At 40.1% G+C, this 15873-nt stretch overlaps 1 protein-coding gene across 28 annotated transcripts in view; it reads right to left on the bottom strand.

Moving 5' to 3' along the window:
* Positions 1-15873, bottom strand: part of GOLGB1 (golgin B1) — an 86766-nt gene that overhangs the window by 9850 nt on the left and 61043 nt on the right. For 27 of the 28 annotated variants that reach the window (XM_047447994.1, XM_047447992.1, XM_047447989.1 and 24 more), the window contains 3 exons: positions 8637-8815; positions 4235-4400; positions 3843-3980 (listed from right to left, as the gene is read on the bottom strand). In XM_047447994.1, coding sequence (XP_047303950.1) covers positions 3843-3980; positions 4235-4400; positions 8637-8815 — 483 coding nt within the window. Of the gene's footprint in view, positions 1-3842; positions 3981-4234; positions 4401-8636; positions 8816-9866; positions 9914-15873 lie in introns of those variants that run through there. The other variant, XM_047447996.1, reaches the window with a different exon arrangement.

The raw sequence follows: 15873 nt of genomic DNA on the forward strand, positions 1-15873 counted from the left end.
TTGTGTGTTTTTTTGTTTTTTGGTTTTTTTTTTTTTTGAGACGGAGTCTCGCTCTGTCACCCAGGCTGGAGTGCAGTGGCGCGATCTCGGCTCACTGTAACTTCCACCTCCCGGGTTCAAGCAATTCTCTGCCTCAGTCTCCCAAGTAGCTGGGATTACAGGCCCCCGCCATCACGCCCAGCTAATTTTTGTATTTTTAGTAGAGACGGGGTTTCACCATGTTGGCCAGGATGGTCTCGAACTCCTGACCTCAGGTGATCCACTCATCTTGGCTTCCCAAAGTGCTGGGATTACAGGCATAAGCCACCACACTCGACCCAGTTTTCCTCTTTTTAATCAAGATTGCTTTGGCTAGTTAGGAGTTTTTGTGGTTACATACATATTAAATTTTTTTTCCCATTTTTGTGAAGAATGTCATTGGTATTTTGATAGGGATTGCATTTAATCTGTAGATTGCTTTGTGTAGTACTGTCATTTTAATGATATTAATTCTTCTAATCCATGAGCACGAAATATCTTTCCTTTTTTTAGTGTCCTCTTCAATTTCTTTCACAGTGTTTTATAAATCTTTCATTTCTTTGGTTAAATTGATTCCTAAGTATTTTAAATTCTTTGTAGCTATTATAAATGGGATTGCTATCTATCTATCTATCTATCTATCTATCTATCTATCTATCTATCTATTTTTGAAACACAGTCTCGCTCTGTCACCTAGGCTGGAGTGCAGGGGTGCGATCTCAGCTCACTGCAACCTCCGCCTCCCAAGTTCAAGTGATTCACATGCCTCAGCCACCCGAGTAGCTGGGATTACAGGCGTGCACCACCATGGCTGGCTAATTTTTGTATTTTTAGTAGAGAAGGGATTTCGCCATGTTGGCAAGACTGGTCTCAAACTCCTGGCCTCAAGTGATCCACTCACCTTGGCCTCCCAAAGTGCAAGGATTACAGGCATGAGCCACCATGGCTGACTGGGATTGCTTTCTTGATTTCTTTTCCAGATTGTTTGCTGTTGGCATATATAAATGCTACTGATTTTTGCCTGTTGATTTTGTCTCCTGCAACTTTACTGAATTCATTTATCAGTTCTAACAGTTTTTTGGTGGATTCTTTAGGTTTTTCTAAGTATAAGGTCATATCATCTGCAAAAAAGGCTAATTTGACCTCTTCCTTTCCAATCTGGATGTGCTTTTTTTTTTGTTTTGTTTTTGCCTAATTGCTCTAGCTAGGGTATCTAATAATATATTGAATAACAGTGGTGAAAGTAGGCATCCTTGTCTTATTTCAGATCTTAGAGGAAAGGCCTTCAATTTTTCCCTGTTCAGTACAATGTTACCTGTGGCCTCCCATATACTTTAAATAATCTCTAGATTACTTATAATACCTAATACAATACAAATGCTATATAAATAGTTGTTATACTGTATTTTTAAAATTCATGTTTTCCTGAATATTTTCAATCTACAGTTAGTTAAATCTGTGAATGCAGAAATTACCAATATGAAGGGCCAACTATAAATATAAAACCTGAACATCTGAAGAAAGAATTAGGGAAGTGGCTTAGAGAAGAACAATCTATGCTGACAGCCCATCTACTACAATCTCATTCTGGGGCCCAAGAAGCAATTCTCCTATTTAGCTGGGACTCATTCAGAGTGAGGCTAAGCTCATGAAGGAATATGTATATCCTCAGTATCTAGCATATAGCCAGGCTCATGGAAGACAAATAATAGTTATTGTTTTAATGACTGAATAAGGCTAGGAATGAGGTGCCTTTCTTTTTTTTTTTTTTTTTTTTTGAGACGGAGTCTCGCTCTGTCGCCCAGGCCGGACTGCGGACTGCAGTGGCGCAATCTCGGCTCACTGCAAGCTCCGCTTCCCGGGTTCACGCTATTCTCCTGCCTCAGCCTCCCGAGTAGCTGGGACTACAGGCGCCCGCCACCGCGCCCGGCTAATTTTTTTGTATTTTTAGTAGAGACGGGGTTTCACCTTGTTAGCCAGGATGGTCTCGATCTCCTGACCTCATGATCCACCCGCCTCGGCCTCCCAAAGTGCTGGGATTACAGGCGTGAGCCACCGCGCCCGGCCTGAGGTGCCTTTCTTACAGTTGAGTTCTAAAGGAAAAACTGTTTCTCACTCAGAATGACAGTGACCTATGCAGTGTTTCTCACACTTTAAGTGGAATTACATATCTCAATAAAGGTGTTAAAAAACACAACTTTATGACTTAGAACCCAGTATATAAATATATACAATTAAAACTAAAGTTTTCCAAAGACAGACATATTCTTTATTATATATTACATACGTGTTTTTACCTCATTTCTTTTTTTTGTAAAAACACCAACTGCACTATTTGTAATAGCCCCAAACTGGAGAAGCCCAAATGTCCTTCAACAGAATAGAGATTGTGGTATATGCCTAAAATGCAATACTACACAGCATGAGAGTGGAAAAATGACACTATATGCAACGACATGGATGAATCTCACAAAATAAATGAAGCAATATAAAAGAAAAGGTATGACTCCATTTATATGTAGTTCTAAGTGGGTAGGAGTGAACAGAAGACACAAGGGACTTCTGGAGTTCTGGTATGTTCTGATTCTAGATCTGGGTGCTGATTATATGGGTATCTTCACTTTGTGAAAATATATCATGCTGTACTTATGATTTGTTTACTTTTCTGTATGTTTTACTTCAATAAAACATTAAAAATTTTTTTTAGTTGTTGCCCACCAAAATGATTTCATCATTTATTAATGGTCCTGAATTTCAGTTTAAAACACTGTCCTAGACAGACAAATGCCCAATGTGATTCAGAGTCTAATGTTTGGAGAGCAAATGTAACAGGCCTGAGACGGGAGTTAGTTGACGGAAAAAAGAGACAGGCTAGAGCTGTAAAGGGTGGAACTTCCGGAAATAGCTGATTTGCTGGAAGGGGAACTCCATGGGAGCTGCTCTGGAGTCCCTTTGAAAACTCCCAGACAAATCTACCAATAAAGAGTCTACAGTTTAACTAATTCATTTGGGCCTGCAGACTTTAAAAACTGCAAATGTCTCCTCTCTGATACTTCAGTGTCAATTAGTTGAATTTAACTACATTTAATAAGTACCCTCTACATATGCAGGCACTGTGCTTTTCCACATGCATGATCACGTTTATTTCAGACTGACTTCGTCCTAACACCTCAGGCAAGTTACTTACTACTCCAGGGCCTTTTTCCTCATCTGTGAAAACAGCCTAGTGATCTTTTTAATTTTTGGATCACAGACCCCTTGGTCAACTGATGAGTTCTTGTGATGAAAAGCTTACGCACACACACACTATTGTGCATACAATTTTTGGGCATTCTTGGCTCTCCTCAAAGCTAATCTCTGGACTTCTGATTCTGATTGATCTCTAAATATCTTGTAGTTCTATCATAGACTACTTAGCTGAGTTCCTCTCAAGAGGGCAGAACTAGGGCAGGTGCCACTAAAGAATATTTTGAATAGTCAGTGAACAACAGGAGGACAATTCTTAAGAGGGTGGGGTAGGGAGTAGCCTCAGCATTACTACAAGTGATACAGGTCAGGGGGAAGGCTTCCTAAAGTAGTTGGCTTCTTTACTTTTACTGTCTGGATTTATCCAATCATTCCCAAGGACTCACCAAGGGCAAAGGACAAGAAATGGCCCTGTGTCCAGTGCTTTGGAATAAGCACCCAGGTTCTGAGAAAGGTGAAACTTCTGTACCCTAAGATATGCTACAGCTGGGACTCTATGCTGAATTGGCTTCTACTTGCCTTCTTGTTCCAGTCATGGAAAAAAGAAACTGAATTCCAGTCTAACAAGAAACACTTACGTTGCTGTTCAGTTGCTGAATTCTTAACTCCTTTTGGTGAATTTCCTTTAAGCTGTCATTGAGCTGGGTCCTGAGAAGTTCTGTCTCATAAACCAGATTTTGTGACCCATCTGGGGAAGCTGATGTCTCTGGGGATGCCTGCCAGGACACAAACATTGATCAGATTCTCTCCTAAGATTGCGCATGCTTAATTCCTTCCCTCTAGAAATCCTGTCCGCCCCATAGAAGTCATAAGGTGGCTTATGGGCACTTAATAGTGGCAGATGGGCACTTAATTTGTAGGAAGCTGATGCTTTCTGGGTAGCGTCTTAAAAAAAAAACAAAACCCTGCAATCATCATCATTTGTTTAAAAATTTATCTCTGAGTAACAATCAGCATTGAAATTACTCACCTGTCTTTGGTATTGCACTTTGAGAGGCTGAGTCTGGGAGGAAGAAGACCTCAATTCCCTTATAAGATTCTGCAGATGACTGAGCTGCTGATCTTTATCTGAGATAGCCATAAGGTACTGTTCCTTCATTCTCCTCTCATGTATTTCCCAGGAACTCTTCTCCATCCTAGAAAAAACATGACACAATCACAGGTAAAAATATACTTGTAACTGGGCATGGTAGCTCGCACCTGTAACCTCAGCACTTTGCTTATCTTCAAAGTTACTCAAATCTGGAAGGTAAAGAAAGAAAGGCTAAGAAAAAGGTGGAAAGAGAGAAAATGTGGGGGAAAAAACAGGAATCTTTTTTTCTCTATCTCCTTTTCTCTTCCCTAAGGGTCAATTATATAAGGAAATAAGGAAAATAAATATCCTTTTAGATTGCCATTAGAGGAAATTTAAAGAAGAAAGGCTGCAGGAAATAAGCCTTTAGAGCTTTGCAGCTCTTCTTAGGTTTACACTAGTAGCTGAACACTTTAATATTTCTGTAGTTCTAGGTGATGTGGAGATAAGATGAGAGGCATCAAGCGATGCTCTGATACGGTACCAATCACCTTTGGAGGGCCCTAAATTCAAGTGCATCTGAAGGACACAGCAAGCACCTAAACTTCTGATGATAAATTAAGATTCTAACAGAATAAAGCTGGGGTGCTATTCCCTGAAGAAAAATGGAGGTTAAAATGGAGCAATTTATCTTTTCTCTTGAGATTCAATTTCAAAAGAAGAAACAAATTTATATTTCTAGAGAGCAAAACTCAGTTGTTTTGCCATTTTCTTTTTACTTGCTCTGCAATCATCATCATTTGTTTAAACAAAAAATTTGTTCTTGTATTATCTGGGGAAGCTGCCAACTCCATGCAATGAGCTTGATAAATGTTCACTTATAATCAAGTCCATAAAGATGTTAAATATGAAAATCTTTTAGATGTAATTTTACTCCATAAAGTTTAAATCATTAAATTCCAAAAAGCATTTTGCTATATCAATGTTGCTTAAGGTTTGAAATCTCCTGTGTCTGAACATTAAGAACTCTCTTAGAGATGTTATGATATTTATACTATATTGACAGTTGTCATTCTAATGGCCCCTTGTAAGCTGGATAGAAATTGAGATTCCAACTCATATTTTCTGTATTCATTTGCCTCTTGTCCTCTAGCATTGGTGAAACAAAGCAGGTGCTGCTTGATCAGCAGCAATGTCCAACATGGTAATTCTCCTTTTAATATCAAATCTTGAAAGCTTTTTGAATTTTTTTTTTTTTTGAAACAGGGTCTCACTCTGTTGCCCAGGTTAGAGTGCAGTGGCATGATGTTGGCTCACTGCAACCTCCACCTCCCGGGTTCAAGCAATTCTCCTGCCTCAGTCTCCCAAGCAGCTGGGATTACAGGCGCACGCCACCATGCCCAGCTAATTTTTGTATTTTTGGTAGAGATGGCCAGGCTGGTCTCAAACTCCTGACCTCACATGATCTACCTGCCTTGGCCTCCCAAAGTGCTAGGATTACAGGTGTGAGCCACCGCACCCAGCCAAGTATGAATTTATTAAGGCAGCATGAACCATCTTAAGTTAAACAGTAACAACCTCCCAAAAATGAGGCTGCAACAACTAGACCTGTTTTTATACACTAAGTGTTTAATCTTGGGATTAAATTTGTCAGAAAAACTGAATTAAAAAAAAAATCAGAATTATAGCTCCTATCTTAATTTCTTCTGCCATGATAGCATTATTATTGTTCTGTTCCTTAAAAAGAAAAGAGCTAGGATTTCTGGTTCTAGACAAAATAAAATAGACACATTTCTCCTTATTCTTCCAACTAAGGCTGAGCAACCCTAATCAGAAAATCAGAAATACTTCAAAATCCAAAACTTTTTGAGCACTGACATGACACTCAAAGGAAATGCTCATTAGATAATGCAAATATTCCAAAATCCAAAAAAATCCGCAATCCAAAACACTTCCAATCCCAAGCATTTCAGATAAGGAATACTTAACCTGCATAGATAAAACTCTTGGGCCTTATAAATAAAAACAAACATAAGAAAATTTAGAAAGATGGTGGCAAACCAGCTAGGGATCCCCAGACTTGAGGAATGACATGGTGGCAAGTTCTTTGGTTTACCATTTGTATTCTGCATATCCCAAACCGGATACTGGAGAATTCCATGACCCGGAAACACCAATGAGTACCAAGTTTACTCAGTCTTGCCAAAGGACCAGGAAGGGACAGTCTAGCTAGACAGAGCCATTAATGATACTAACCACCATACTCCAGGCAAACAACATGGAAAAAACACAGTATCTCACCACTCCCATTAACAAAGACCTGGTAGATAAGCTAGGTACATTCTTGGCTGGTGGTAACAAGGTACACCTCACCCTCCTTACTGGAGTAGTGTCAGAAAAGGCCAGGTATGGAGCTTGGACTCTTACAATCACCTAGTGCTAAGAAGGTGCCTCTCTCCGACTGCCCCTCCTCCCCCACTCCCACTGTGGTATCAGTGGAGGCAACATGTGGGGCCTGGACATCCCCCTCCACCATAACAAGGTTAATAAGGCACTCTTCCTTGTCCCTGCAGAGGTGGTATCAGAAGAGATCAAGTGGGGATTCTGGACTTTGAGTACTACCCAGTGGTAACAAGATGCCCCTCTTAACCATTCCCCATAGTGTCAGTGGAGGCTAAGCGGATAGCCTGGACTTTTACCACCACCTGGCAATAATGAGGTGCCCCTCTCCACTCCTTCCAGCACAGTATCAATGGAGGCCATGTGGGGAGCATGGACTTCCACTTCCTCCTGGCAGTATCAGGGCATCCCTTCCTTTTAGGGGTATCAACGAAAGTTGAATGGGGTGCCTGGAGTTCACCATCCACCTAGTGTCTTCCTTCCCCTGCCGGTGTGGTGTCAGTGAAGCCTGCTAACACAGAAGATTCAAATAAGACTGAAAGTCTTATAATCTCCAAAATGTCCAGAATGTAACTAAAAATCACTCATCATACCAAGAACCAGGAAAACCACAACTTGATTAAGAAAAGGAAATCAACAGTTTATAACACTGAGGTGACACAAATATTAGAATTATATGACAAGGATTTTACAGCAGCTGTCATAGAAATGCTTAAACAAGCGATTACTAACATACTGGAAAAAGTATAGAAAGCTTCAGCAAAGAAATAGAAGATATAAAGAAGAACTGAATGGAAATTTTAGAACTGAAAAATACAATATCCAAAATAAAAAGCTAACTCACTGGGTGCCATAGCAGAATGGAGGTAGGAAGCAGAGAACTTGAAAATCAAATAGAAAATACCAAATCTGAATGATAAAGAGAAAATAATAAATTGGATTTCATCAAAATTAAAAAGACCCTGTTGAGGGAGATGAAAAGATAAACTGCAAATTGGGAAAAAATATTTGCAAACCGCAAATCAAACACAGAATGCATACCTATAATATATAAAGAACGCTTAAAACTTAACAGTAAAAAATTAACCCAATTAGAAAACGGACAAAAGACATGAACAGATATTTCATCAAAGAGGATATATGGATGTCAAATACACACATTAAAAAGATGTTCAGCCATTATGCAAAGTGGTTTTGCAGTTTCTTAAAAAACAAAACATTCACTTATTGTATGAGCTAGCATTTGCACTCCTGGGCAATTATCCCAAAGAAATGAAAACTTAGGTCCACACAAAAACTTATACACAAATGTTCATAGTAGTATTATTAGAATAGCTAAAAATTAAAAACAATATGCATGTCCTTCAACAGGTGAATACAGTGGTATATTCATAATATGAAACATTATTTATACTGAAAAGAATGAACTATTGATACATACAACAAAACTGATGGATCTCAAGGGCATTATGGCACATGAAAAAAGCCAATTTCAAAGGGTTATATACTGCAAGATTCCAGTTAGAAAACATTCTCAAAATGACAAAATTGAACACAGATTAGTGGTTGCTAGGGGTTAAGGATGTGAGGAAGGTAGGGAAGGGAGGAATGTGACTATAAACTAGTAGCACAAAGGACGTATTTGTGGTGATGGAGTAGCTCTGTATTTTGGTTTTGGTGGTGCTTAAATATACATGTCACAAAATTGCATAGAACCACACACACAGATAGTCAAATCAGTGCATGTAAAACTGGTGGAATCTGAATGTGGTCCGCGAATTGTACCAATGGCAGTTTCCTGGTTTTGATACTGTGCTACAGTTATGTAAGATGTCACCACTGGAAGAAACTGGGTGAAGGGTACATAGAAGCTCTCTGCACTATTTTCCCAAATCTACAATTATTTCAAAATAAAAAGTTAAAATGAAAAGAGTTGAAAAGGAGGGATTATATATAGTACCTGAGCTGATGCAGCTCATGCTGCCAGGAGAGGTTTTCCTGCCTGAGCTCTTCTTGCATAATCTGAAATGCTTTTGTCTTATCTTGATACTCCTGAAGTTGAGCCTTCAGTGGATGTAACTCAGTGATCTCTTGATTAATCTGTAAGTATTGCTGCTGCAGATTCTTCAATTCCTTCAGCTTTAACCAAAGGGAAAGTAAAATGATTATTTGTCACATCTCATTCATCTAACTGTAAGTCATTGGTAGCTCCCTACTAAGTAGTCAGACACCACAACATGAAACCAGCACCTAACAGTCCACTGATGACATATCACTGCAACATAAGTCTCTAAAGTAGTGAAATACATGCAGCTAGGCTGGTGGAAATCACCCATGGAGCTGCCATCAAGGCTACAGGGTGTGACTATTCCTGCAACTTCTACTCCTTCCCCTGGCTCCTAAGGTCCTAAGTTCACTTTAGGGCTACAATTCTGACGTGGGGTAGACTTAAGAGACCTAGAGCTTCACTGTGGGTGGTCACATCCTAAAACAAGAACTAGTCATGTGTCCTTGTTAGGGTTCTTAACTTTCCTACAGGGCTATCAATCTTAACTGTAGCTTAGCGGATACTGATTATAAAGAAGGCAGTGCTGCTCAGTGGTTAAGGACACTTAGGCTCTGGAGTTAGATATCCTACTACTTCTTGGACGTGTGACCCAATGCATGTTCCTCATACTCTTCTTTTTTTTTTGAGAGGGAGTCTTGCTCTGTTGCCCAGGCTAATTTTCCTCATCTATTAAATGAAGATAATTATAGTACCTTTTTCATAAGAATATGAGAAGTAAATGAGCAAATTAATGCACTTCACACATAAAGTTAGTGATGATGACAGACTTGCCTTTAATTAACAACACTGCCTACCTACATTTCAGATATATTTTCAACTTCTTTATCTCCAATACTCATTAAAAGCTTAGTAAGGGAGAAATAATATCAGGACATCTGGGCAAAGATGGGGGTCTTGTTCACATACCTCTTTCACCCACTTAGAGACATCGCTAAAGCTAAAATAATAGCATTTTTTAAAGCACAAAACACAAGAACAGGAAAAACAATAGAGGAATCAGCAGCAATAAAATTAATTTTGGAAGCTGAAAAGCAGATGAGTAAGTGGTAACTGACTTAACAGATCTGAGAAAGCAGAATCTAAAGCTGGTAGTAAGAAAATCCAAGAATCAGTGGAACTTACTCTGCAGAATCTTCAAAAGGCTCAGGAATTAACAGCATCAGGCACCTCTGGAAAAGATGGTGATGGGGGTGGGAGGGAGGTGATAGCTGAGATAAGGAGGTCTAGATGAAAGCTGCTTAAGAAGCAATTTCTTTTAATTTTTTTTTTTTTTTTTTTTTTTTTTTTTGGAGAGACGGAGTCTCAGTATGTTGCCCAGGCTGGTCTCAAACTCCTGGACTCAAGTGATCCCTCCACCTTGGCCTCCCGAAGTGCTGGGATTACAGGCGTGAGCCACTGCGCCCGGCCAGAAAACAACTTCATTTATAGGTACCCTCTTCAGCTCCACACTTTTTGTTACCCCAACAGACAACTAATTTTATTCTCTGGACAGGTAAAAGAAGTCTCTGTGGACTATGGCACCTGAGGCACAGTTACAAGTAAGGGTATTGTTCCAAATAAAGTGAATGCATGCTTCCTGAGTGCTTGAAGTCTTTCCCCTACTGAGCTTGAAGAGTGCTGGTAAAAGGCCTTTTCCCTCCACAAAGGAAATGAAAAGTCTTCTCTTGAAAATCTGACCAGCCCAAGAAAAACTAAAGATACTGAGATAAGGGCTACCAATAAGCTCAATAAGATCATCATGCAATGAAACTCCGTTGGTAAGTCCTACCCACAAGGTTTTAGACCCTCCCCTTAAACATGAAGAGTACATTGAGGATTAACCTTCACCTGAAGAATGGCTAACATTAAGGAAGGGAAGAAAACCAACTAGAGAAGGTAATTTAGAAGAGATTATCAGGGGAGAAAATGTAATGTACTCAAAGATTTAAGAGATAACATTGTAAATAAGAAACATTACAGCATAAATTAAAAATTATAAAGAAAAACTCATTATAAGAAAACGTCAAAAAACAAAACTACCACCATTAGCCTTAGAAAGAGAAGAAAATCTACCGGCCGGGGACGGTGGCTCATGCCTGTAATCCCAGCACTTTGGGGGGCCGAGGTGGGCAGATCACGAGGTCAAGAGATCGAGACCATCCTGGCCAACATGGTGAAACCCTGTCTCTGTTAAAAATATAAAAATTAGCTGGGCGTGGTGGCGGGAGCCTATAGTCCCAGCTACTCATTAGGCTGAGGCAGGAGAATCGCTTGAATTCAGGAGGCGGAGGTTGCAGTAAGCCAAGATCATGCCATTGCACTCCAGCCTGGATGACAGAGCGAGACGCCGTCTCAAAAAAAAAAAAAAAAAAAAAAAAACAAGAAAATCTGTCTATGAGACACAGAAAAAAAATCCTTAGAAATTAAGAATATAATGGCAAAAATGAAAAAAATGTTGGAATCAAAAGACGAAGGCAAGAAAATCTTCCAGAAATACAGCAAAAAAAAAAAAAAAGGGAAAAGTTAAGAAAATTAGAGAAGCAATCAAGAAGGTCCTACATCTAAATAACAAACATTTCAGAAATAAGACAACAGAGAAAAAGGATAGAGGAAAATGGTAAAAAATAATTTAATGAAATTTCCAAAAAGCTGCTAGTATGATTTCTTAGATTCAAAGGACTAGTTAGCATGATGAAGAAAAAAAGACCTATACCAAATTATACTATCAAAAAATTTCAGAATAGGGGAGAAAGGGAGGGAAGGTGGGGTGAGGGGAAGGGAAGTGAGAAACAGATCACATACAAAGGATCAGGAATCAGAATAGCTTTAGACTTGTGAACCACATATAAGCTAAAAAGCAATAAACCAATGTCTTCACAATTTTGAAGGGAAATTATTTTCAGCCTAGAATTCTATATCCAGCAAAACTATCAATCAGATAAGAGAGATAAAAAGACATTTTCAATAAATTTACCTTCCACATACCATTTCTTAGGGATCTACTGAATGATTTATTCCAGGAAAAAGATGGCACAAAACCAAGAAAAGGAATACATAGAATAGACAAAATAGGAGATCTAATATAGGAGAAAGGTAAAGGGAAATATTCTGGGATAGAAAGGGTATCCTAGGAGTACAGGGCCACTGGTTGATATAGGAGCAAATCAGGTACTCCAGGAGAATTTTCTTCCTGAAGATGAAATTGATGGGAATAAACATCTTGAAAGGAGATGTGGACAAATGGCAGTAAATCTGAGGTTAAATTACATTAAGTACAAAGAAAACTAAGGAACAACAATAACAAAAACTTATTAATCTGGGAAAAACAGAAAGACTCAGGAAAATAAAAGTAACATGTCTCTAACGCTCTAGTAGCATTTGTAGTCATAAAAAATGTAACTCTGAATTGATTTAACCAAAATTAAAATTAAATTACATCAAGAAAATGAGGAAGGGGTTTGTATTAAAATGTGCACACACTGGCCGGGTGCAGTGGCTCACGCCTGTAATCCCAACACTTTGGGAGGCTGAGGCAGGTGGATCACGAGGTCAAAAGATTGAGACCACCCTGGCCAACATGGTGAAACCCTGTCTCTACTAAAAATACAAAAATTAGCCGGGCAAGGTGGCGTGCACCTGTAGTCCCAGCTACTCGGGAGGCTGAGGCAGAAGAATCGCTTGAACCCGGGAGGTGGAGGGTGCAGTGAGCTGAGATGGCGCCACTGCACTCCAGCCTGGCAACAGAGCGAGACTCTGTTTCTAAATAAATAAATAAATAAATAAATAAATAAATAAATAAATAAAAAGTGCATACACTAACAGGGTTTACTGTGAAAGCAGGGAGAGTACAGAGAGCTAAACCCTGTTAGTGTAAAGAAAATCAATAGTTGATGCAACAAAGAGCCAAAAATGCAATATAAGCATGATATTTACATACACAGGAAATACTGAAAGAATAAGCTAAAAGGGTTGAAAGCAAATTGCCTCAGAAGAAATGGGGTTGAGGTAGTGCTACTCTTAGCTTTTCCCACCAAACATTGTAGAATTTAGTGACTAATTAAATATGGGTCATATAACTTTATTTTTAACCCAAACCCCAAAACATATTTTTGTTTTGATTTAAGGTAAAAACATATTCCTTTATGCAATCCACTCACTCCTCTAGTCTAGATACTAGACTAGAGGTATCCTAGAATGGACCATCAGAAAGCTGTGTGCCTGGGACTGCATTTTAGCTCCTTGGAGTGGTAGTTTTAGTGAACTGGACGTAATTCTTTTGCTCTGCACTTACATTAAGGGACAGCTAAATAAAAACCCTAAAAAACACATTATTATATTTACTGTAGAGAAGTAATGGATGTTTCACAACTGCACAGTGTTCTCTTTATGGGAACACAGAAGAAATTTCTTACAGGCCTCAATACTTAAAGACTATTCTTGTCTTGAGTAGGTGATTTTTCTTTCTCCTTTTCTCCTAGACTATAAATACTGCAGTTCATGCATGCGGTTTTCATTCCCTCTTTCTGATGGCTAATAGAAACCTCAGAGCAAACTATGGATCCCTCTTTCTAACACAGTACAGGATATGGTGACTTCCCCTTGGGACACTAACCTTACTCCTGGTTTGATCTTTTTCTAGCCTATCCTCTTTTTCTCCTCCTTCTCAGTCCCTTTTATTTTATCTTGAAAAATTGTTTATATCTTTATATGCTACCCCAAGTCATTTTCAGAATGAGGAGAGTATAGATAAATACAGGCACCCCTAGAGATATGTCATCTGCTTAGTCAGTTCTATGCTAAAGATGTACAAATAAGTATAAGACATGACACTTACCAGGAGTTTGCAATCTAATTGGGGAAATAAAAAATAGTGTACAGAAATTAAACATATACACACACACACACACACAATAAGGCAATATGGGACAAATGATAAGTAAAATACTAGGGAAGTACAAAGGCAAAAGACAATCAGGCAATCACGAAATGTAAGAAGAGGATCTGAGCTCTGGAATGACCTTTAAATAGTGGGAAATAGACACTCAAAAAAGGAAAGCAATTGGGAGAACATTTTGGCTGCTGAAGATAATATGGGTAAGTAGGAAGTACCAGGTGTGATTATTGCATACTGAGTAGATCAGTTTGGTGTGAATGAAGGGTATGAGTAGGGAGCAGTAAAAGGGAACGCTGGAAAGGTATGGATAAATTACAGGGTCTTGGCCAGGTGTGGTGGCTCACGCCTGTAATTCCAGCACTTTGGGAGCCGAGGCAGGTGGATCACTTGAGACCAGGAGTTTAAGACCAGCCTGGCCAATATGGTGAAACCCCATCTCTACTAAAAATACAAAAATTAGCTAGGCATGGTGTAGTCCCAGCTACTTGGGAGGCTGAGGCAGGAGAATTGCTTGAACCTGGGAGGCGGAGGTTGCAGTGAGCCAAGATTGCACCACTGCACTCCAGCCTGGGTGAGAGAGCAAGACTCCATCTCAAAAAACAAACAAACAAAAAAACAGGGTCTTAAATGCCAGACTAAAGGGGGTTTGAATACTAAGTCTATTCTAGAGATAGTACAACTTTTAAATATTTTTGAGTAGTGCAGTAATACAGTAGAGTTTCAGAAAGACTTATATGGTGATGGTCTGAAAATACTGGTGAGATGATAACCTGGAAGCAACATTATTAGAACAGTTTAAGGGTAAAGTGTTAGAGCTTATCTTAGGATGTTGAAGATGGAAAATAAAAATACTTGAGGCACACTGTGAATAAAGGAGTGATACATCTTGATGGTTAAAATAAAATCACAGTTATGAGCATTTGGGAACAGAATAATATGACTCTGAATTACAGAAACACGAAAATAAAAAAGTTGGCTTGGCTGTAACTATCCAGCAGACAAAAATGTGCAAAGTTTAGTGCCTAGTGTTTATAACAGATAAGAATAATAAAGCAATTCACTGAATTAAACATAGTTAGCTAATTCAGAATCTATCCTAACAGCTCCATGAAAAAAGATTTTGACTTAGAAGATAATCAATACCAGCATATCATAAATTACAGCTTTGAGGCACATACCATCCTGATGAATAGAACCTTTTGCATTTACGGTCTGAAAAGACAGACAAAAGGCCAAGCTCCCAGGGCAAAGTCAGCTAAACTCAAATTATTTAAAAAATATAAACAAGTATGTGTATGTTGGAAGTAAAAACCATAACTGAACAGAGAGGCTTTGTTCGGATTACAAAAGGGGAAAGACTGTCTATAAATATGGGATATTAAGTGAGATAGGAATGAATACAATTACCTACAATAAAAAGGAAAAACTCACTCTACAGTTAGGGGTAATAATCTTTTCACTAGAGCTCATCTTAAAAATTAGAATTTTCGCTCTCCCTCTCCCTCTCCCTCTCTCTCTCCCCATGGTCTCCCTCTCCCTCTCTTTCCACGGTCTCCCTCTGATGCCGAGCCAAAGCTGGACTGTACTGCTGCCATCTCGGCTCACTGCAACCTCCCTCCCTGATTCTTCTGCCTCAGCCTGCCGAGTGCCTGCGATTGCAGGCGCGCGCCGCCACGCCTGACTGGTTTTCGTATTTTTTGGATGGAGACGGGGTTTCGCTGTGTTGGCCGGGCTGGTCTCCAGCTCCTAACCGCGAGTGATCCGCCAACCTCGGCCTCCCGAGGTGCCGGGATTGCAGACGGAGTCTGGTTCACTCAGTGCTCAATGGTGCCCAGGCTGGAGTGCAGTGGTGTGATCTCGGCTTGCTACAACCTCCACCTCCCAGCCGCCTGCCTTGGCCTCCCAAAGTGCCGAGAGTGCAGCCTCTGCCCCGCCGCCACCCCGTCTGGGAAGTGAGGAGCGTCTCTGCCTGGCCGCCCATCGTCTGGGACGTGAGGAGCCCCTCTGCCTGGCTGCCCAGTCTGGAAAGTGAGGAGCGTCTCTGCCCGGCCGCCATCCCATCTAGGAAGTGAGGAGCGTCTCTGCCCGGCTGCCCATCGTCTGAGATGTGGAGAGCGCCTCTGCTCCGCCGCCCCGTCTGGGATGTGAGGAGCGCCTCTGCCCGGCCGCGACCCCGTCTGGGAGGTGAGGAGCATCTCTGCCCAGCCGCCCCGTCTGAGAAGTGAGGAGACCCTCCGCCTGGCAACTGCCCCATCT

This window comes from Homo sapiens, chromosome 3 (genome assembly GCF_000001405.40).
Source record: "Homo sapiens chromosome 3, GRCh38.p14 Primary Assembly".
Lineage (NCBI taxonomy): Eukaryota > Metazoa > Chordata > Mammalia > Primates > Hominidae > Homo > Homo sapiens.